The 20,829-nt window shown below is 50.9% G+C and overlaps 1 protein-coding gene across 4 annotated transcripts in view, besides 3 other annotated features; it reads right to left on the reverse strand.

The window, feature by feature from the left end:
* The window catches only part of JAKMIP1 (janus kinase and microtubule interacting protein 1), a 174,351-nt gene that overhangs the window by 80,525 nt on the left and 72,997 nt on the right, over positions 1-20,829 (reverse strand). For all 4 annotated transcript variants that reach the window (NM_001099433.2, NM_144720.4, NM_001306134.2 and 1 more), the window contains exon 2: positions 5,999-6,274. In NM_001099433.2, coding sequence (NP_001092903.1) covers positions 5,999-6,127 — 129 coding nt within the window. In that variant the 5' untranslated portion in view covers positions 6,128-6,274. The remainder of the gene's footprint in view (positions 1-5,998; positions 6,275-20,829) is intronic.
* Positions 9,821-10,336: an enhancer, noted in NCBI's record as "H3K4me1 hESC enhancer chr4:6118271-6118786 (GRCh37/hg19 assembly coordinates)". NCBI's record gives its function as "activates a minimal SCP1, AML or CMV promoter by ChIP-STARR-seq in naive H9 embryonic stem cells {active_cell/tissue: H9 hESC(naive)}" and the evidence as "EXISTENCE:reporter gene assay evidence [ECO:0000049][PMID:30033119]".
* Positions 10,337-10,852: an enhancer, noted in NCBI's record as "NANOG-H3K4me1 hESC enhancer chr4:6118787-6119302 (GRCh37/hg19 assembly coordinates)". NCBI's record gives its function as "activates a minimal SCP1, AML or CMV promoter by ChIP-STARR-seq in naive H9 embryonic stem cells {active_cell/tissue: H9 hESC(naive)}" and the evidence as "EXISTENCE:reporter gene assay evidence [ECO:0000049][PMID:30033119]".
* Positions 11,369-11,884: an enhancer, noted in NCBI's record as "H3K27ac-H3K4me1 hESC enhancer chr4:6119819-6120334 (GRCh37/hg19 assembly coordinates)". NCBI's record gives its function as "activates a minimal SCP1, AML or CMV promoter by ChIP-STARR-seq in primed H9 embryonic stem cells {active_cell/tissue: H9 hESC(primed)}" and the evidence as "EXISTENCE:reporter gene assay evidence [ECO:0000049][PMID:30033119]".

Here is a 20,829-nt window from a genome sequence, read left to right on the forward strand (position 1 = left end):
CCAAGGGAGTGTGTTCTTAAAACACTTCAAAATGCTTTCTTTAACCTTTTTGTTTCAAATATCACTCAACACACATTCCACAGGAACGCCTGACAAGCCCTTATTTCCTGAATTCTGCCCGTCTCTGAAGACCTGAAATGAATTGCCTCTGGTGGACAAGCTGCTTCCAGGGAAAATGGCAATGTTTTTCCCCAGACCACACTGTTGATAGCATAGTCACATGTTAAAATTAATTTTAGGTGAGAAGTTTTACAATGGCACCTGAGTATTGATAAATCCTTACTTAAAACAGCAGGTAAAAAAGCAAATAAAACCAACCCAGGCAAACACACAAGATCAACATCTCCTTTCACCAGATACTCACAATCATAGGAATGAAGCCAGGCGACCAGTCCATGTTCTGTCCACCTTACCCTGGGGGCAGCAATCAGCATCTTTTCCTAGTGGATTTAGCAGCAGGAAGCCAGAACTTTAAGTATTTAACAGAATTGTCCCAGTTATGGACAAAATGGTTTTGACTGTTCTCCCTCCTGCGAGGCAACAGTCAAGTCCCTGGTTAATGCCGACAGCCATCTGGGGCCAGCAGGGTCAGATCCAATGAGATCCTAATCTGCTTTGATGAGCTGCGTTTCCCCAGGCAAATTTCTCTGCCTCTATGGTGGCTGATGTTGTGGGTCGACTTGGCTGGGCCACAATGCCCAGTCGTTTGGTCAAACACCAGTCCAGATGTGGCTGTGAAGGTACATTTTATAAGAGATTAACATTTACATCAGTAGACTCTGGGTGAAGCACGGTGCCTTCCACAATGTAGGTGGGCCTCATCCAATCAGTCGAAGGCTTTAAGAGAAGACCGAGGTCCCCTGCGGAAGAAGGAACTCTGCCTCCCGGCTGCACTGGGACTCGAAGCTGCAAGATCAACCCTTGCCTGAATCTCCAGCCTGCTGGTCTGCCCTACACATTTCAGATTTGCCAGCCCCACAACCGCATAAGCCGATTCCTTAAAACTAACGAATAACCTCTCACTCTGTGGGGGGTGTGTGTGTGTGTGTCACAACCTATTGGTTCTGTTTCTTTGAAGAACCCTGACTACACAACCTTCCAGAGCTCCAGTTTCCTCTACTAGGAAACAGGGATGGCAACAGCTGCCCCTCAAAGGCCCGTTGAGAGGAGGAAGATGAGGTGACTGTGGGTGGGTGAATGGAAGTCTGTTGTTATCGTGGTTCTGACTTTCTGCATCAGGGGTGGGCAGCCTCGTGTGAGAGACACAGGTAGAAAGGGGGTGAGGAACATGGAAGGGTGGGCAGAGGCCTGTGCAGGGCAGCCCGGGGCGTCTAGGGGCTGCTTCCTGGGAGGGGCAGAGGTGCTGCTGAGGCTGGTGATCCAGGTGTGTAGGGCAGGGATGGTGACAGAGAGGCAGGGGCCTGGGGACAGGGCCCTGCTGGGTCCCTCCAGCTCTGCCCAAAGCTGCTGAGAGCCAAGCCCAGGTGACATGACCTATGCCACAGAAGCAGCAGAGTGAGGCTGGGGTGACCTCTGATGGGCACAGAGCACTCCCTCCCACCACCACTCCATCCAGCTGAGCAGGCCAAAAAAAGCCGCCCAGCACTTTACCTCCAGGTGCCTCCAAGCTACCCCAAGTGTAGAGGCACCTACACCAGCCGCTCCTCAGCACTTGGACTCTAAATGCAGCCACGGCACAAAGGCCAAGAGAGGGAGCATGCCCTGGGGGTGTGGGGGCTGGCGTGGAGAAATTATCTGAACCACCAGCACCACCCTCACTTGCCACTCCCACTCAGAGAGTGAGTCAGATTCACCCCTTTCCATCCTCATCCTCATCCAATCCAGCAGCACTGGCTCTCCATGTCCAGGCCTGGCCACTTCCCCACTTCCCCCTTGCCCAAGCCACCTGCAGCAGCCCTCCCCGCCACACCCTCCATGCTCAAAGCCCTCTAAATCTCATGGGTACCAGTTCACTACTCTGAAACCATCATACATGTATAGTGTTGAACAAAGAAAGTGGATGGCAGAGGGGGAAGCCAGGTTTCCCACTTGGAGTAAGAGGTTACAGACAAGCAAGAGGAGGCTGAAGGGAGCCATGCGGCAGTGGATGCGTCTTGGGACATCTGTAAGAACTCATGTTTGACTTTGTATGGATATAGATGTCATATATGGAAATATTTACAGGTATGCGTACATACGCAGGTCAGTATACACATATATATTCCTTGTTCTGGCAGCTGAGAGGGCCTAGAAACAATGACACCGCAGCAGTGATGGGCACGCCTGGTGCCTGGATCTTTGTTTCTAATGCCATTCTCCAATAAAAGGAACCAGGACCCCTTAGAGAAACTGCTGGGTCTAGCGCTGGGGTAGGAAATATACAAGATGTGCCTGGGGCACCTTTTTTTTTTTTTTTTTTTTTTTTTTGAGTCGGAGTCTCGCTCTGTCCCCCAGGCTGGAGTGCAGTGGCACGATCTTGGCTCACTGCAGGCTCTGCCTTCCAGGTTCACGCCATTCTCCTGCCTCAGCTTCCAGAGTAGCTGGGACTACAGGCACCCGCCACTGCGCCCGGCTAATTTTTTTATATTTTTAGTAGAGACAGAGTTTCACTGTGTTAGCCAGGATGGTCTCGATCTCCTGACCTCATTATCCGCCCGCCTTGGCCTCCCAAAGTGCTGAGATTACAGGCATGAGCCACTGCGGAGCCTGGGGCATCTTATAATGCCAGAAAGTAAGGAAATGCTCCACAAAACCCCCACAAAACTGCCCCTGTGAAGCCTTGGGTTCTGCTTGTCCCTGCACTATTTTCTAAAACCTCTGATGGAATGTGCCCAGGGCTGCTGTATTGCTGGTTTCCTGTGAGGCTCTGTACCCATGCGACTTGAGGACAGGGTCTGTCTCTGAGTTACTTCCAAACACTTCTCACTCAGCCCAGGCATGGAGCATGCATGCCAGGGGTTTGCAGATGAATAGACAGACACGTTTACCACCCTCCTTCATCCTACAGTGTTCAACAGGGATGCTTTGCTAAAATGCCAGCACTTTAAATGGGACATTGACAGTGATTGTGAGATCATATCAAAGTAACACTTCAATGCAATTGTAAAGTTTGCATTTATGTTTTTTGTACCAGTCAATAAGCACATTACTGAATTCTCAGAGAATTGAAATTCTCCCAGCAGCCAGATGGGTAAAGTCAACCTGAAGCGGCCACATGGATGGCTGGATTGAGAAAATAATCAGCCAGCGTGCATCCAAGTGGAAATTGCCACACGTCCCAGAGGCAGGGAGGCAGCCTGGTAACAGGGAGGCCCAGCCTGGGGTCCGCATGGGCCTGGCTTTCAATCCTGCAATACCACCTACTGTGCTGGCCTCGTGTGTGGGGCTAAACTGTGTCCCCCTGAAAATCATATGTTGAAGTCCTAACCCCCATGACCTCAGGATGTGATTCCATTTGGAGATAGATCCTAATGAGGTCATTAGGGTGGGCCCTAATCCGATTTGCCTGGTGTCTTTGTAAGAACAGAAAATACAGACATGGACAAACACAGAGGAGAAAGCCATGTGAAGACACAGGGAGAAGGCGGCCGTCTGCAAGCCAAGGAGAGAGGCTTCAGAAGGAGCCAATCCTGACACCTGGATCTGTGGCTGCCAGCCTCCAGGACTGTGAGACAGCAATCGTCTGTTGCGTAAGCCGCCCTATCTGTGGGACTTGGTTACTGCAGCCCTGGCAAGCTAACACACCTGGGCAAGTCCCCGCCCTCTCCAGCCCTTGGCTTGCTCACCTGTAACACGGGGGAAGCCACACCTGATCTCTCAGGTCACTGCCAGGGTCATGACACCCTCTAAAGCACCTGGTGCTATCTGCACAGTAGGCATGTAAAGGTCACCCTGATGGTCATGTGAGCGTATGACAGGCAGCACCCAGGCCCTGTGTGTGACTGTCTCATTCATTCCTCAAACAACCCAGGAGGCAGACACCTTAGAGGTCCCCATCTACAGATGGGAAAACTGAGGCAGGGGGTTACACAGCTTATAAGACCTCAGGCAGGGGTGGTGGTGGAGAGGGGATTTGAGCCCAGGCAGTGTGATATGAGTGAGCAGCTTTCCCTGTCACCACAGCTGCTGTAGCTATGTCCAGATACAAGCTGCCAGCCCTTACACCCCCAGCCAGTCAGCCCCAGCCCCAGCCCCGGAGGTGACCTGGCCTGTTGACCTGGCTAAAGGGTGAACAGGTCAGCATCACCAGCATCCATGTCTAAAAGAGGCTGGATGCACTCGGCCTGGAATCTTGAACACCTAGGGATGGAGACAGGTGCATCTGTCCCCAAGTTCCAGAAGCCCAGTCCCCTGGTCCAGAACTCAGCCTCTGCTCTGTGTGGCCATCCTGAGCTGGGGTTGCAGCCAGATCCCAGGCCCCAGCCCCGTCCCCACCTGGAAGCTGGATCTGGCCCAGCACTCCATTGGCGACCTGAGTCCCAGCTCAACAAGACAGGGACGCCTGCTGCAATTCCCCAAGCAGCCTCCACCCGTCACTCCAGGTACTACAGCAGGAGCCAGAGGGCACCTTCGGGGCTTCAGATAGACCTTCAACTGCTCGAGCCACCCAGGAGCAAGCCTGCATCTCCATGCTCTTTCTGTGCTCAGCCTGGCTGGCAGCTCCTCTCTGGGCTCACAGAACCCTGGGCTTGCTCTACCCTCAAGCCCACCCAAGTCAGAAGCAGGCCACCAAATAGGACTGCAGCTGTGCCTGGGCACCAGATGTTGATGGGGCTTTTTATTGCATCCATTAATCAGATCCTCATGACCATCTTAAACCGGACAGCTATAATTACACCATAATAGCTGGTGTCAGATGAGAAGACAGAGGTTTCGGAGACTTTTAGTCACCTGGCCAAGATCATGAGACCAGTTAGCGGACAAGCTGAGGTTTGAAACCGGGTCTGCCTAGAAAGCCTGTGCTCCTCCCCTCTGTGACAGCCCGTGCTTTAATTAGACTGCCAGCACCCAACCAGGCACTGTCCTGACCAGCTCCAAAGCTCAAATCTGCCTTAGGAGAGAGGAAAGTAGCTCATATCGCAGAACCAGGCTCTGTTCCAAGCTCTTTACCTAGCAGAGCCCTGAGTCCAGACCACAGCCCCATCACATCTAAGAAAGCACATATATGGCTTACAAGACCTCATGGCAGCATAAACCAAAAATAAACTTTGAAGCCTCCTGACCATCTGAACGGATCCCTCCTCTCCACCAAGGGTCTTCCAAAGTTAACCTGAAAAGCTAGTTCAGGCCATGATGGGAAGCGGGGAAGTGGGACATACCTCACTATGCCCTACTCCCTTTTGGAATTTAGGAAAAGCTGGTACCGCCATGACCCTGCTGAATTCAGCCTGAGGATGCCTTCATGCATGAGTTCCTATATGATGAACTGCAACCTAACTTAGCAGGCAAACTAACCAAAAGCCTGACTTAGGAGCATTTTTAAACAAATAGCCGAAGCTCAGCCAATCACAGCAGCTGAGCATCAGTAAATCACAGGTGACCCATGGATCAAGGGTCAAGCTGTAACTGATCAAGTAGCCTCAGCACCTCTTCTGTTTTCTGTCCCCATAATGAATGCTGTCTGACCACATGCAGGTTTCTCTGAACCTGTTCTGTTCTGGGGACTGCCCCATCCTCGAATCGTTCTTTGCTCAGTTAATCTCTGCTAAACTGAATTTGTCAAACATTTTTCTTCTGACAACCCCCATCTTGCAGGTAAGAGAAATCAAAGAATGAGGTGTTCAGTGGCTTTTTGAAGGTCACAGCAAGCACTGGTAGGGCCCAGACTCCTGCCCAGCAGTCTCTGTACTGCAAAGGGACAGACAGCAGGGCAGAGAGGTGAAGTGCCCCCCCTCGGCCCCCCTCCTGGAACAGGCTCTTCACACACATGCCTCAGAGGCAACACTGCCCAAAGGGACATTTGCAGCCCAGCCGCTGCTGAGCTGACGCCAACCCCCACCTTGCTTTTTTCCTGCTGGAACTCGATCTGAATGCTGGTCAGCTTGGCCCGCAGCTCCTCGTTGGCCATCTGCACCGCGTCCGTCTCCATCTCGGGCTTCTCGCCCTTGCTCCGGCCTTTCTTCGACATGCTTCCCCTTGGGTCAGAGTGCTGAGATCCTGCGGTCCACACCTGTTCACGCACGCCAGCCAGCAGGCGTGGCTACCAGCTCCACCGTGCTAACCAGTCGCGCAGGACTCAGCTCGCCCTCCGAGGAAACCACCATCACTTGGGATCCTGAAGGAAGGAGGGAAACTGAGTTAGCAGAGACAGAAGGGTGGGGAGCTGGTGTCCCTGCCTCGGGCACCCTGGGCCAGGCACCTGCCTCATCTGGAGCATGACCTGCCACTCCCAGACTGACCTAGAGCCTTCCCGATGGGGGCTGCAGCAGAATCGCTTGGAGGTTGTTAAGGCGTGGAGTCCTGGGCCCACCCCTAGAGAATCTGATTTGCATTTCTAACATGCTCCTAGGTGAGGCTCCCAGGTGACCACACCTGGAATAGCTTCAGTCCATCCTGCTCCCATCAGGATGAGACCAGCCCATCTCAGCAGCCTGCAGACCATGGTCTGCCAACATCAGTGAGCCTGTGTCTCCCAAGGTGCTTCTTCCAAAAAGCAGGGCCCTGGGCCTCATCCAGAGCTTGAAGCATGAGGAGCATGGTGGTCCAGGGAATCTGCATTTCCATCCACAATCCCAGCAATTCTGGAGCAGGGCGTGAGGACCACACTTAGAGAAATGGACTTTTCGATTTCAGAGGTTAGTGGTTTCCTTCCCTACTAGGTAGGTGATATCACCCAGTGTTACAGATGAGGAAACTGAGACACACAGAGGTTGACTGCTGGTGATGTCACTCAACTACTGAGAGAGGAAATAGTATGAACCTGATCAAGGTCCACAGCTGGAAGCGGGTGAGCCAGGACTGAGCCTAATCACCGCCCCAAGCTGCCTCGGAAAGCCCGCCTCTGCTCTCCCTTCCCTTCACCACGTCTCCTTCTCGTTTTCCATCTGACAAACTGTAATTGACTTAGTTCTCATCTATGTCCCCTACACGAGGATGGGTTCCCAGTAAGCAGGGCCTGGGCCTGCTCTGCGCCTGCTGTGTCCTCCATGCCTAGAACAGAGGGCAGCACGTAAGGATGCATTCCATCAGGATCCGCCAGGTGCGTGAATGAATGAGTGAGTGAGTGACAGCAGAAGAGTCATGAGGCACCCATCATGTGCCAGGGCCTGTGACGGGAGCTGGGAATCCTGTCCTATCATCTTTGGAACACCTGGTGAGAGAGGATTTTACTAGGCCCATTTTAGAGATGAGGAAATGAAAGCACAGAGAGGTGAAGTCAGCTACCTAAATCCACACAGTCAGTGAGTCGTGGCGTTGGGATTAGATTATGTAGGGAATGAATGCAGAGCGAGGAGGGAACACTCCAGTGTCAAGGAATGCTAACTTGGGAGGTTGGGCAGATGAGACAAAATTGGCAAGGAAGGCCATGAACAGGACAGAAGGAGAGAAAGCACCAGGGAGGCTACAGAAGATGGTGTGTCTAGAAGAAGGAAGACTCCAACAGCGGGCAGCCCCAAAGAGGTCAAGGTGAGGACCTGAAGCTGGACATTGGATTTGGCCTCCTGGAGTCCATGTGACCTCAGCCTATGGACAGGAGATGCAGAAAGTACAGGACAGGGGTGCCCAGGGATGGTCTGGGGTGGGGTCTCCACAACACCAGTGCATCCAGCAAGTTGCAGATGCTCGGTGGCCATGAACTGAAGTCAGGCGGGACCTGCTAGCCCTGGGGCCCTGGGACATCCCTCCAAGCTACAAAATCTGGGAGGCAGTGATGGAGGTCAGCTGCTTTCCTCCTGAACAGGAGAGAGGGGTGTTTCTTAACACACCATGAAGGATTATTCTGGGCTAATCAACATCACCGCTGATCGATTCCAGAAAGGTACATTCTGTCTTCAGACAAGTATGAACTCCATTCGCCTTGATCTGACTTAGAGCTTGATACATAATTCATTCCTCACCTCGGCTGACCTGCCGCTTTTATAACCACAGCAGTTCTCAGAAATCAGCCTTCGAGTCTGAAGTGCACCTCCCCATGCCCTGATGGGCAGGAAGACACAGAAAATACAACACCAAAAAAGGAAGCTTGCTCCTTTTTATTCCTTTCTGTGGCCACTTCTAGGAATGTGCTTTAAGGAAATACCAGAGATACGGTCTCTGATAGAAACACTTGGATGTTCATCCCAACAACACAAGGCTCAGCCAGAAGGGATAGATTAAGTAAATGATGTCTAAGCCCCGACAGAAAAGTCCACATGGGGAAAAGGTCAGTACCACAAAGAGTGAAAAAGGTGAAATAAAAAAACAGGCTGGGTGTGGTGGCTCACACCTGTAATCCCAGCACTTTGGGAGGCCGAGGTGGGCAGACCACCTGAGATCAGGAGTTTGAGACCAGCCTGGCCAACATGATGAAACTGCCTCTCTACTTAAAATACAAAAAATTAGCAGGGCGTGGTGGTGCGCACCTGTAATTCCAGTTACTCAGGAGGCTGAGACAGGAGAATTGCTTGAACCTGGGAGGCGGAAGTTGCAGTGAGCCGAGATCGTGCCATTGCACCCCAGCCTGGGAGACTCCATCTCAAAATAAATAAATAAATACATAAAAATAAAAAACAAATACAATTTATAGTTTCAATTGTCTGCTATATATATATTTGCTCATTATTTTCACTCAGTCACAAATATGTGTTGAGCACCTGCAAGGTGCCAGCCCTGCACCCTGGGGATACGGTGGAAAGGACATAGCAGCCACGCCCCCAGGATACTGACAGGGACCACCTGGGGGATGCAATTATAGGTGATATCTATTCTCTTCTTTAGACTCTTCTAGGTAAGTACAATGTTCTACTTCAATGACTGCTTTTAAGAGGAAACAGTGCAGTTTTTTCGTTTTGTTTTGTTTTTTAAGAAAGGCAAGAAAAATATCTGCAATTAGCCAGGAAGGACACCACTAAAAAGCTGAAGAGAAAGCAAAAGGACCACATCCACAGGAGCAGCCCACCGGCCTCGCAGGCAGGATGGGGCGGCTGCAGGTCTGCCAACTCTTTGGGCTGCCGGTGGGGGAAAGGGCTGCCCTGCCCTGTATGTCAAGTGTCAGCTCCTCGGGGTCAGAACCTTAGCTCCCACCTTTGTGCACCCTACCCCGTGCCCAGCCCAAAGTCCAAGCTCGATCCGATTCCAGGGTGAATAAATCTCCATGGGCTGATACCAAGCCTGGTACTCTCAACACCCCATGCCAGACACTGCCAGGCTGGGCCACAGTGAGTGTGGAGACGAATGGAGTGCAGGAGGGGAAGATGTCCAAAGTTCTGGGCCAAGTCAATCTCGGAGCTCAGGGTGGGCCCCAGCAGCCGGCCTCTGTGCCATGGACACACTGTTGATAGTCCCGACGCTCACAGCACCACACAGCATCACTGTAATCAGCCCCTCTGGCTGCGGGCTGCCCAAAGGTCTCATCAGCAGGAGCAACAGCAGGGAACTCTCCTGCCTGAGCTTAGCTTGGTGTCTGCTGCGCCCGGGGATTTTCGTTCTGAGCCCACTGCCCACCAAGCAGGAGATGGCACAGCCCACTGTCGAGGAAGGAGCACAGCACTGGCTCAGCGCCGCAGGCTGGAGGATGACTGCTCAGGACACACAGGAGGCGGAGTCCTCAGAGAAGGCTCCTTCCTGAAGGCACGGGGACCTTGGACCTGCTGACCCTGGACCTTGTCTGGCATATAGGCCAAGGTTGGCAAATATTCATCTCCCGCAAACCAGTCCTGTTGGCCCCAGAACTGAAATATCTCTGCAGCCCACCCATCTCTGACATCACATGTCCCCTGTCCCAGCCTCCAAGTCGTTTGTCTGTGCCTTGGCAGTGCCGGTGCCCTTTAACTGCCTACAGGAAATTAATATACCGGGCATGCAGGAGGACCAGACAAGGTCCCAGCCATCACAGAACGGTCTAGTCAGGAACACCACTATGGAAATGAATACATAAAACAATGATGGCTTGTGGTAGGTGCTGGAAAGAACAAGTCTACAGGGCACTGTGATACACAGCTATCAAATATCACCTGTCACGGGCAGGCGGTGGGGAGGGCAAACTGCCAGACCACGTGGGGGTTCTACACCAAGCACAGAGTCAAGACCAGCTATGTATTTGCAGCCCAGTGCAAAATGAAAACGTGAGGCTCCTTGTTCAAAATTATTAAGACTTGCATGACGGCAACAGCAGAGCATTAAGCCAAGAGCCAGGCCCTCTGAGTGTAGGCCCTGCAGGACAGCACAGCTCGTGTGCCCGTGAAGCTGGCCCAGGACAGAGTTCAAGCCCTGCTCTGAGCATGCTGGGAAGCCATTAGCAGGGTGTGACTCGGATTTCCATTTCACTGAAGTGCAGATGGTAATTATCGGGGGACCTGCCCCGATAATCACGTAGGTTCTTTTCTATTTTTCTAAGCGTCGACTGGCTTGAGAAATAAAAGAATAGAGTACAAAAGAGAGAAATTTTAAAGCTGGGCGTCCGGGGGAGACATCACTCATTGGTAGGATCCGTGATGCCCCACAAGCCACAAAAACCAACAAGTTTTTATTAGGGAGTTTCAAAAAGGGGAGGGGGTATACGAATAGGTGTGGGTGACAGACATCAGGTACTTAACAGGGTAATAGAATATCACAAGGCAAGTGGAGACAGGGCAAGATCACAGGACCACAGGACCAGGACCGAAGTGAAATTAAAATTGCTAATGAAGTTTTGGGCACCATTGTCATTGATAACATCTTATCAGGAGACAGGGTTTTGAGATCAACCGGTCTGACCAAAGTTTATTAGGCGGGAATTTCCTCTTCCTAATAAGCCTGGGAGCGCTATGGGAGACTGGAGTTTATTTCACCTCTGCAATCTTGACCATAAGAGACAGGTACGCCCCGGGGGGCCAGTTCAGAGACCTACCCCTAGGTGCGCATTCTCTTTCTCAGGGACGTTCCATGCTGAGAAAAGGAATTCAGCGATATTTCTCCCATTTGCTTTTGAAAGAAGAGAAATACGGCTCTGTTCTGCCTGGCTCACCAGCGGTCAGAGTTTAAGGTTCTCTCTCTTATTCCCTGAACAATTGCTGTTATCCTGTTCTTTTTTCAGGGTGCCCACATTTCATATTGCTCAAACACACATGCTGTACAATTTGTGTAGTTAACGCAATTATTACAGGGTCCTGAGACGATACATATCCTTCTTGGCTGACAGGATTAAGAGATTAAAGTAAAGACAGGCATAGGAAATCACAAGGGTATTGATTGGGGAAGTGATAAGTGTCCATGAAATCTTTACAATTTATGTTTAGAGACTGCAGTAAAGACAGGCATAAGAAATTACAAAAGTATTAATTTGGGGAAGTAATAAATGTCCATAAAATCTTCACAATCCACGTTCTTCTGCCATGGCTTCAGCCGGTCCCTCCGTTTGGGGTCCCTGACTTCCCGCAACAGGTAATAGCTGTATCCCACTGGTGGTGGTGAGGGTGAAATGGGTCCCTGCCTGTCACACAGGAAGCATTGCAGAGGCTCTGTGACCATCATCCTGCTGTTTAAAAGGCACCTGGGCTGCTGAGACACAGACAAATGACATGGAGGCTGGGACAAGGGGCATGTGGTGTCAGAGATGGGTGGGCTGCAGAGATATTTCAGTTCTGGAGCCAACAGGATTGGTTCGCAGGAGGTGGATATTCGCCAACCTTGACCTATATGCCAGGCTCTTGGCCTGACCCCACAGCCTTCCACGATGCCCACCACCAATATCTGCCCATGCACTGGGTGCAAGGCCTTGTCTGGCCTTCTTAGGCCTCCTGCAAAATTTCCTCTCTTCATTAAAGCACAGCTTCGTGGTGACAACATTGTAGAGGCAAGCAGAAGGACTGGGACCCTGGACTGAGGCCACAGGAGGCAAGCGCAGAGCTCTGGTTGGCCAACATGGGCCAGCTTCTGGCCAATGAGGGCTGAGGCGGGCTGAATCGTGGCCCCCAAAGAAATACGATCACATCCTGCTCCCCAGAACCTGCAGATGTACCCTTATTAGGAAAAAGCATCTTTGAAGATGTAACGAAGTTAAAGATCTCAAGATGAAATCATCCTGCAGTAGGATGAAGTCTAAATCCATTGACAAGAGTCCTTCTAGGAGATGCACAGAGAAGACACACAGAGGAGAAGCCCAAGCGAAGTCAGGGAAGAGACCGGAGCACTGCGGCCACACCAGGGAAGCCCAGGACAGCCGACAGCCACCCAAAGCTGGAGCGGGGAAGGACTGACAGCTTTTTTTAAGGGAATGCGACCCTGCCAGCACTGTGATTTGGGACTTCTGACCTCTAGAACTGCGAGAGTAAATTTCTGTTTACCACCCAGTTTGTGGTCATGCTTTATAGAGGCCACAGGAAATTAATATACCAGGCATGCAGGGAAAAACCACTCCTGGGGCCGGGCGCGGTGGCTCACGCCTGTAATCCCAGCACTTTGGGAGGCCGAGGCAGGTGGATCACCTGAGGTTGGGAGTTCGAGACTAGCCTGACCCAACATGAAGAAACCCCCCTCTCGGCTAAATGTACAAATTAGCTGGGCGTGGTTGCGCATGGCTGTAATCCCAGCTACTTGGGAGGCTGAGCCAGGAGAATCGCTTGAACCCGGGAGGTGGAGGTTGCGGTGAGCCGAGATCACGCCATTGCACTCCAGCCTGGACAACAAGAGCAAAACTCCGTCTCAAAAACAAACAAACAACAACAACAACAAAAAAAAACCACTCCTGGGACACAGTCAGCACTTTGTTTAATGCCGGAAGGCAACCAGCTCCTCAGAACACGAGTCTGAATAAGCCTTGCCTTGCCCCTCTCCACACTGTGTGTGATCTCATCAAGAAACCACAATGCCTCCCGGCTGAACAGGGCTGCTCACATCCCTCTACAGTCACAATTCACAACCTGCAAGGTGAGATCAGAAGGGACCTTTGCCTCCAAGGTGCAGATGGAAAAAGTAAGCCTCAGAAAGCAGAAGTGAGTTGCCCAAGATTGTTGGATGACCCGGTGGCAGCCATGGGCTTTCCAACCCAGGTCTCCTGCCTCCAGCCCCACATGGCCTGATAGTTTTATAGGAGGATTCAAGTAACATAGGCACAAAAAGAAAAGTAGCTCCTTCAAGACAACTCAAGTCCAAATAATATCTGATAAGCAGAAATTCCAGCCCATCACCAAGAAGTCTTTGTAACACTTCCTGCAAACTTCACCAAAAATTACGTGGAAATCCCAGGGGTCTCCGTGGAGAAAATATGAATGGGCTAGGTTGGTAGAGTCAAATCCTTTCTGTGGACAGAAAACAGTTTATCCTAAAGAATCTAGCCACACTTTTTTTTTTTTTTTAACAAACATTCATTACTTAATGAGCCCTTAGGAAAAAAATCTCTCTCTGAGTAAGTACATGACTTTGTTTTAAATATCTAAATCCAAATTGATTGTACTGACTTAAAAAGCTACAGCCATATTCCTACCCCAGGCGCAGTAATATGCTTCCTGGAAATTTATTCTAAGGAAGCAATTCCCGAAAGGAAAGAGCAATCTGCCTAAAGATGTTGCGAGTAGCATCATTTGAATTGTTGATGGCAGTGGAAAACTGGAAATAACCTCAGGACCCAAAAGTTATTGATGGCTGAATGAGCAAAGGCACATCAGCCCACTCAGAAACAGCCCAGGCAGAGACAGGGAGGGAGGCCCACGGACAACAGTGGCATGTGAGCCCTGCCGGGCAGCACCTGGAGAGATGGGGAATGTGCTTCTCATCAGTTCACATCCCACGATTTTCAGTTTCGTTTAAAATCCAGTGATGGTGGCCATGCTGTTTATGCAATCAACAAAATAATGAAAGAGATGATACTGGGTTCTCTTTTGAGCAGAACTGAAATACCAGAGTGAAGCTCACACCCCAGGCCAGCTTCAGCTCCTTCCATGCGTCCTTTATGGCCCAAGTGGAGACTCAGAGGCTGTCCGAGTCCCCACTCCACAGAGCTGCTGGAGGCTAAGTGCCTTCAGGTTTGGGCATTTCTTGGCACACTTCCTGGCACAAAGCAAGCTCAAAAAATGGCAGCAGGCCGGGCACAGTGCTCACACCTGTAATCCCAGCACTTTGGGAGGCCGAGGCAAGCGGATCACCTGAGATCAGGAGTTCAAGACCAGCCCGGCCAACATGGTGAAATCCTGTCTCTACTAAAAATACAAAAATTAGCCAGGCAAGGTGGTGCGCACCTATAATCTCAGCTACTTGGGAGGCTGAGGCAGGAGAATCACTTGAATCTGGGAGGCAGAGGTTGCAGTGAGCCAAGATTGCACCACTGAACTCCAGCCTGGGCAACAGAGCCAGACCTTGTCTCAAAAAAAAAAAAAAAAAATGGCAGCAGCTTCATCTTCATCAGCATCATCATTCTCACTGGCATGTGCTGCCAGATTTGCCAACAATGTCCATAGCTTGACCCAGGATTTTTCCTATGACTCTATCAACAGTGGGCTGCGTAAGGAGCAAGGGCGTCAAATGGTCCTCAGTGTTCAGGCCCGGAACAACGTGACTGTTTGGAGACCAATACTCTCTTGCCTTCAACTTCCCTCTCACCTTCCGAAGAACGGTGCCAGGCATCAGGAGGGCAAAAGTTGGAAGCAACCTAAATGTCCAGCCATAGGGAATTCCTTGTACTACAAAACTGCACGACTAAATCCCGTGATGGGTATGCAGTAGAGAAGTGTACGCCATCACAACAGACGTGCAGGCTGCCCCCGGACCTAGCAGGGAGCACACAGCAAACGTGCAGGAAGTCACTGGAGTGAGCCCTCGGCACACGCCATCTACTCCAGTGATCGCAGCGCGGCTCCAGCCATGTTCAAGAGCATTAAACAGAGGAACCAGATCTGATTTTTCCGGAGAAAGCTAACATTGATTTTTATGTGAAATTTTCCAATTTGTATACATTAGAAATGAATTCACATAAATTTGTTTAAATATGTTTCAGCCCAAACAAAAGCCATCTGTGGACCAGATTTGACCTGTGGGCATCACTCTGCCAGCTCTGAGGTTTGCCACCTATTAAATGGAAAAAGCAACTTATACAATCGTACATACAGCATACTACAGTGTATATGTACATATAATGTGTATATATACTGCATATAATATACGCTGTATATATGTGCATTTGTAGGCAGGCTTATATTTAAGTGTAGGCATTTAAAATAGCATAGACAGGGCCGGATGCAGTGGCTCACGCCTGTAACCTTAGCACTTTGGGAGGCCGAGGCGGGCGGATCTCTTGATGTCAGAAGTTCAAGACCAGCCTGGTCAAGATAGTGAAACCCCGTCTCTACTAAAAGTACAAAAATTAGCCTGTAATCCCAACTGTTCAGAAGGCCGAGGCAGGAGATTCGCTTGAACCTAGGAGGCAGAGGTTGCAGTGAGCCGAGATCGAACCACTGCACTCCAGCCTGGGCGACAGAGTGAGACCCTGTCTCAAATAGTAATAATAATAAAATAGCGTAGACAAATATTTACAATCTATTGAGACAGGACATCTTTGAAAGAGGTTAGGGTACTTGGGTTTTTCCTTCTTTTAGGATTTGATTTTTGCCTGGATACATTTTCTAAAGGAACTACAAAGACGCTGCATTGCATATTTAGCATGAAATCACAAAAGATTCTTGTCTTTAAAAGATGGTGCTGAGATTCAAGGCATGGCAGAGGCCTTATGAAGAAAAATAACATAATGTGATATAAATAGAGGTTAGAGGGAGCAGCTGCTGACCTGAATTCAAGTCCCACACAAGCAAGTGCCGGCTCTAGGATGCGGGAGACGTCAGTTCATACCCCTGAACTGTTGTTTCGTCAGCTGCAAAGCTAGGAGGACAGCACCCAGCCCATGTGATATGGAGGTCAGGGAGGGGGATGTGGAGGGCGAGAGCACGGGCTCAGGAGCCAGAGTGACTGGGTGGATTCTTAGCTCTGCCACTTACTAGCTGTGTGACCTCAGACAGGAGACTTCTGTCTCCTCTCTGTGCCTCAATTTCTTGATCAGAAAATGAGGCTAGTAATAATTCCTTCCTCCTAAGGTTGTTTTGGGCATGAAATGGTTTCATACTTTTAAGGTATTCAGAACAGGGACCAGACCGTAATAAGGACTCGGTAACAGTTAACAATTATAATGACTTAATTGCAAACTACAAAACCCTTTAAACGAAAGATGTCACTTGTTAACATTCTAATAATTTAGGAAATGCAAAAGGCTCTGTTAGTTTTTCTATTTTCTGACAATGCTACTAGTTTGCAACATACCCTCGAAAATGCACACCTATCTTGAGGTTGTACAGTCCCGTGGAACAGAGCTGTTGCCACTGGCAAAGGAGGCATGGCTTCTGGGGGGCCCAAACCCCTCACCCAGAGCCAGTGCACACCACACAGTAGGCAAAGCCCCCGTCCCAGGGGCACAGCTTGATTCTCAGGATTTTCACGTAATCCTAGCAGCTGAGCTGTCTGTTCTTCCAGCCCCGGGGCCTAAGGGACACAGGGAACTGGAAGACAGCATCGTGCAAAAGGCGAAGACACAGGCAGGAAAATGAAAGGCAGCAAAGATTTTCCAGAAAGCAAAGATTTTTCCACCATGCCACCACCCCAAAAGAGAGAGAGGAGATTAAAATAAAGTCTTTTAATACTTAAAAAGAAGAAGCCTCAGGCTGGGCATGGTGGCTCAAGCCTCTAATCCCAGCACTCTGAGAGCCCAAGGCAGGAGGATGGTTGAGCCCAGGAGTTCAAGACCAGTTTGGGCAAGAGAGGAAGACCCTGTCTCTACAAAAAAATGTAAAAGTTAGCTGGATGTGGTGGTGCAAGCCTGTAGTCCTAGCTACCCAGGAGACTGAGGTGGGAGGAGCATGTGAGCCTAGGAGTTCAAAACTGCAGTGAGTTATGGTGGCGCCACTGCACTCCAGCCTGGGCGACAGAGCAGTGACACCCTGTCCCTAAAACACACAAAAAAGAAAAGGCCTGGGAAGTCTAGGAAATTAACTTTCTTAGGAGACCTCATTTTCCAATTATAGGAAATTAACAAGGTGCTTGCTGTCTCTTTTTATACTGATGCAAAATAGTTAGAGGGAGTTTTAAATGAAACTTCCATGAGGCGTATCAATAATGTCAACCAAGTTAGGTTTTCCTAACACGTACTCTGGGCTTGGAGGTGAGGTGCCATAGAGAGGACCCGGAATGAGGAGCAGGAGGCTTAGTCACTTGCCCCAGCTCTGCCACCATTCCCGCCATGGCCCTGGCCCGGCTGTGTTCTCTCCACGCAGGACTCTCCATCCATAATGGGGGTGGGCCGTGCGGACGGCACCACGTGGAACGAGGGCTGGCGACCATTGCTAATCCCAGAGAGGGCCACCTGTGGCCAGGGCTCCCAAGCCCTGTGTCCCATCACTGATGCCAAGAGGTCACAGCTGGTGGGTCTCATCAACATAGAAATGACGGCAGAGCTGCCACCTGCACCAGCACATTCAGGAGTACTTAGTGACCTGGACCCAATTCCACGCTTAAGTGTGGCGGCTTAATCCACAAATGGGCCTCAGGCTTCCCCAACCCTCAACATCCAGCCACCAAGAACTGTCCTCTATCACCAGTTCTCAGAGGTGTCCCCTACTGCCACCACCCCAGCCAGCCCTCACCCTTGCCTGTCTGCATTCGTGTGACACAGTGGCCTCCCCTGGTCTAGGCCTATATGCCAATCCATCCAGGCTCTAGGGCCATGGGGAGTGACCCTCCCCACCGTTCCCTGCTGATGCCCTGTCGGGGAAAAAGTGTCCATGGCTACAGCAGCCAGGCCTCTGCACTGCACCCTGCTCCTTGCTCCAGCCTGGGCCATGCCTGCTGTCCCCTGCAGGCCTCTGCATGTGCCCTTCTCTAGCTCACAGGCCACCTGGGATCACCTTCTAACTGTCCCCAGTACTTGGCTTGGGCCACACCTCTTTGGGGCAAACCTTTTCTGCTCTGCAAGCAAGATCGGGTGTCCCTGAGGCCCAAGCCTGACTTTAGGCCACCATCGGGTGACCATCTATCTCCAGGACTATGAGGCCAGCTGGGTTGAGATTGCCACAGGAGACAGACCCATTTTACAGATGAGAAAACTGAGGCCTAACAGGTCAGGGGCTGTAGGTCACAGAGGGAGTAGGAGAGGAGAACCTGCCTCTTCCCCACCAGTGGTCAGCCAGGCTATGGTCAAAGGCCATAGGGCTAGGAGGACAGCACCCAGCCCATGTGATGTGGAGGTCAGGGAGGGGGATGTGTGCGTTTCTGCATGGTGTGTATGGTGTGTGTGCCACCCCACATAGGCACCACAGTCCCCAGCCCCAGCTCTCTGAGGTGCCCTCAGCTTCCACTTCCCTGGGCAATTATGTCATCAGCACTGCAGCAGCGGGAGCACCCCCACCCGGGCTGGCTGACCCCTCACCTAGGACCCTCCCATCCCAAGGGCAAAGACCCTCAAGCCCCTCCCCGCAGACAGGGCCACACAGTCCCACCAAGCTGGGACACAGGCCACCCAATGCCACTCTCCCAGCTCCATCTATGGCTACAGTGGCCCACACTGTCAGGACTTCCTGTTTTGGGTCAGGTTGTTCATTCTGCACCCAACAGACACCTGAGAGTCCGTTATGTGTCCAGGAGAGGGTGATTCTGTGCATGTTACAGACACAAACATGCAGGTACCATACAGAAACACACACACACACCATACACACCATGCAGAAACACACACACACACACACCATACAGAAACACACACACACACCATACACACCATGCAGAAACACACACACACCATACACACCATGCAGAAACACACACGCACACCATACACACCATACAGAAACACACACACACACCATACCCACCATACAGAAACACACACGCACACCATACACACCATGCAGAAACACACACACACCATACAGAAACACACACACACACCATACACACCATGCAGAAACACACACACACCCCCCATACAGAAACTCGCGCCATACACTCCATACACACCATGCAGAAACACACACACACACCATACACACCATGCAGAAACACACACACACCATACACACCATGCACACGCACACCATACATACCATGCAGAAACACACACACACACCATACAGAAACACACACACACCATACACACCATGCAGAAACACACACACACAAACACGCACCGTGCAGAAACACACACACAAACACACACCATACAGAAACACACACACACAAACACACACCATGCAGAAACACACAAACACAAACACACACCATGCAGAAACACACACATGCAAACGCACACCATGCAGAAACACACATACACAAACACACACCATGCGGAAACACACACACGCAAACACACACCATGGAGAAACACACACACACACAAACACACACACCATGCAGAAACACACACACACCATACAGAAACACACACACAAACATACACCTTGCAGAAACACACACACACACACCATGCAGAAACACACACATGCACAAACACACATCATACAGAAACACACACACAAACATACACCGTACAGAAACACACACACACAAACACACACCATGCAGAAACACACATGCACATACACACACCATGTAGAAACACACAAACACGCATCATACAGAAACACACATGCACACACACCATACAGAAACACACACACACAAACACACACCATGCAGAAACACTCACACGCACACACACCATGCAGAAACACACACACCATGCAGAAACACACACACACACAAACACACACCATGCAGAAACACACCACACATGCCCCCCCCACACACACCCATACATACACCACCCACAAGCATGCCCACACCATACAGAAACAAATGCACACACACACACCAGGCAGAAACACACAACACATGCGCCCCCCCACACCCATACACCACTCACAAGCGCACGCACACACATCATACAGAAACACAACCCATGCACCACACACAGACATTACATATGCATCATACAGAAACCCATACCACATATGCCACATACACACACACACCACAGATACACACCACACACAAATATACACATCATACACAAACATACTCCCATACAACACACACACCACACCATACATAGACATCACACACATCATACAGAAACCCATACCACATATGCCACACACACACACAGAAGACACACCCCCATACCACACCCGGCCGCACAGAGTTGGTGGCTCCGAGCAGGGCAGGCTCCCCAGCAATCCCCGGCCAAGGGACGTCATTCTCTTTCTTCTGGGGGAAAATGGGCTGGGGGGCTTCAGAGCCTGGCACGTCGCCTGGCCAGCGAGCCCCGTCCACCTCACTACGTGCTGCTCACCCTGCCCACCTGACCCATCTGAGCCACAGCAAGCCCGGGGGCAGCCAGGGCATAGGCTGTTCCCCCAATTTAGAGATGAGAAAACTGAGGCTCGGAGCCACAAGCATGGCACACCCCACACACGGAAAACTCACACCGTGGAGTTTGCTGAAAACCGGCCATTCTGGAAGGAAAGATGGGAAGCAGAGGAGATGGGAGAGACTGTGCCAGGGGAAGCCTGTGCCTGAGGGAGCAAGAAGGGTCACAGGCTGGGCCCAGCAGGGGAGGATCGGTTGTCAGCCTCAGGCTCCCTGGCAAATGGCTTGGTGGGACCTCACTGGCACGTTGGTGAG

Source organism: Homo sapiens, chromosome 4 (assembly GCF_000001405.40).
Source record: "Homo sapiens chromosome 4, GRCh38.p14 Primary Assembly".
In the NCBI taxonomy this organism is placed as follows: domain Eukaryota; kingdom Metazoa; phylum Chordata; class Mammalia; order Primates; family Hominidae; genus Homo; species Homo sapiens.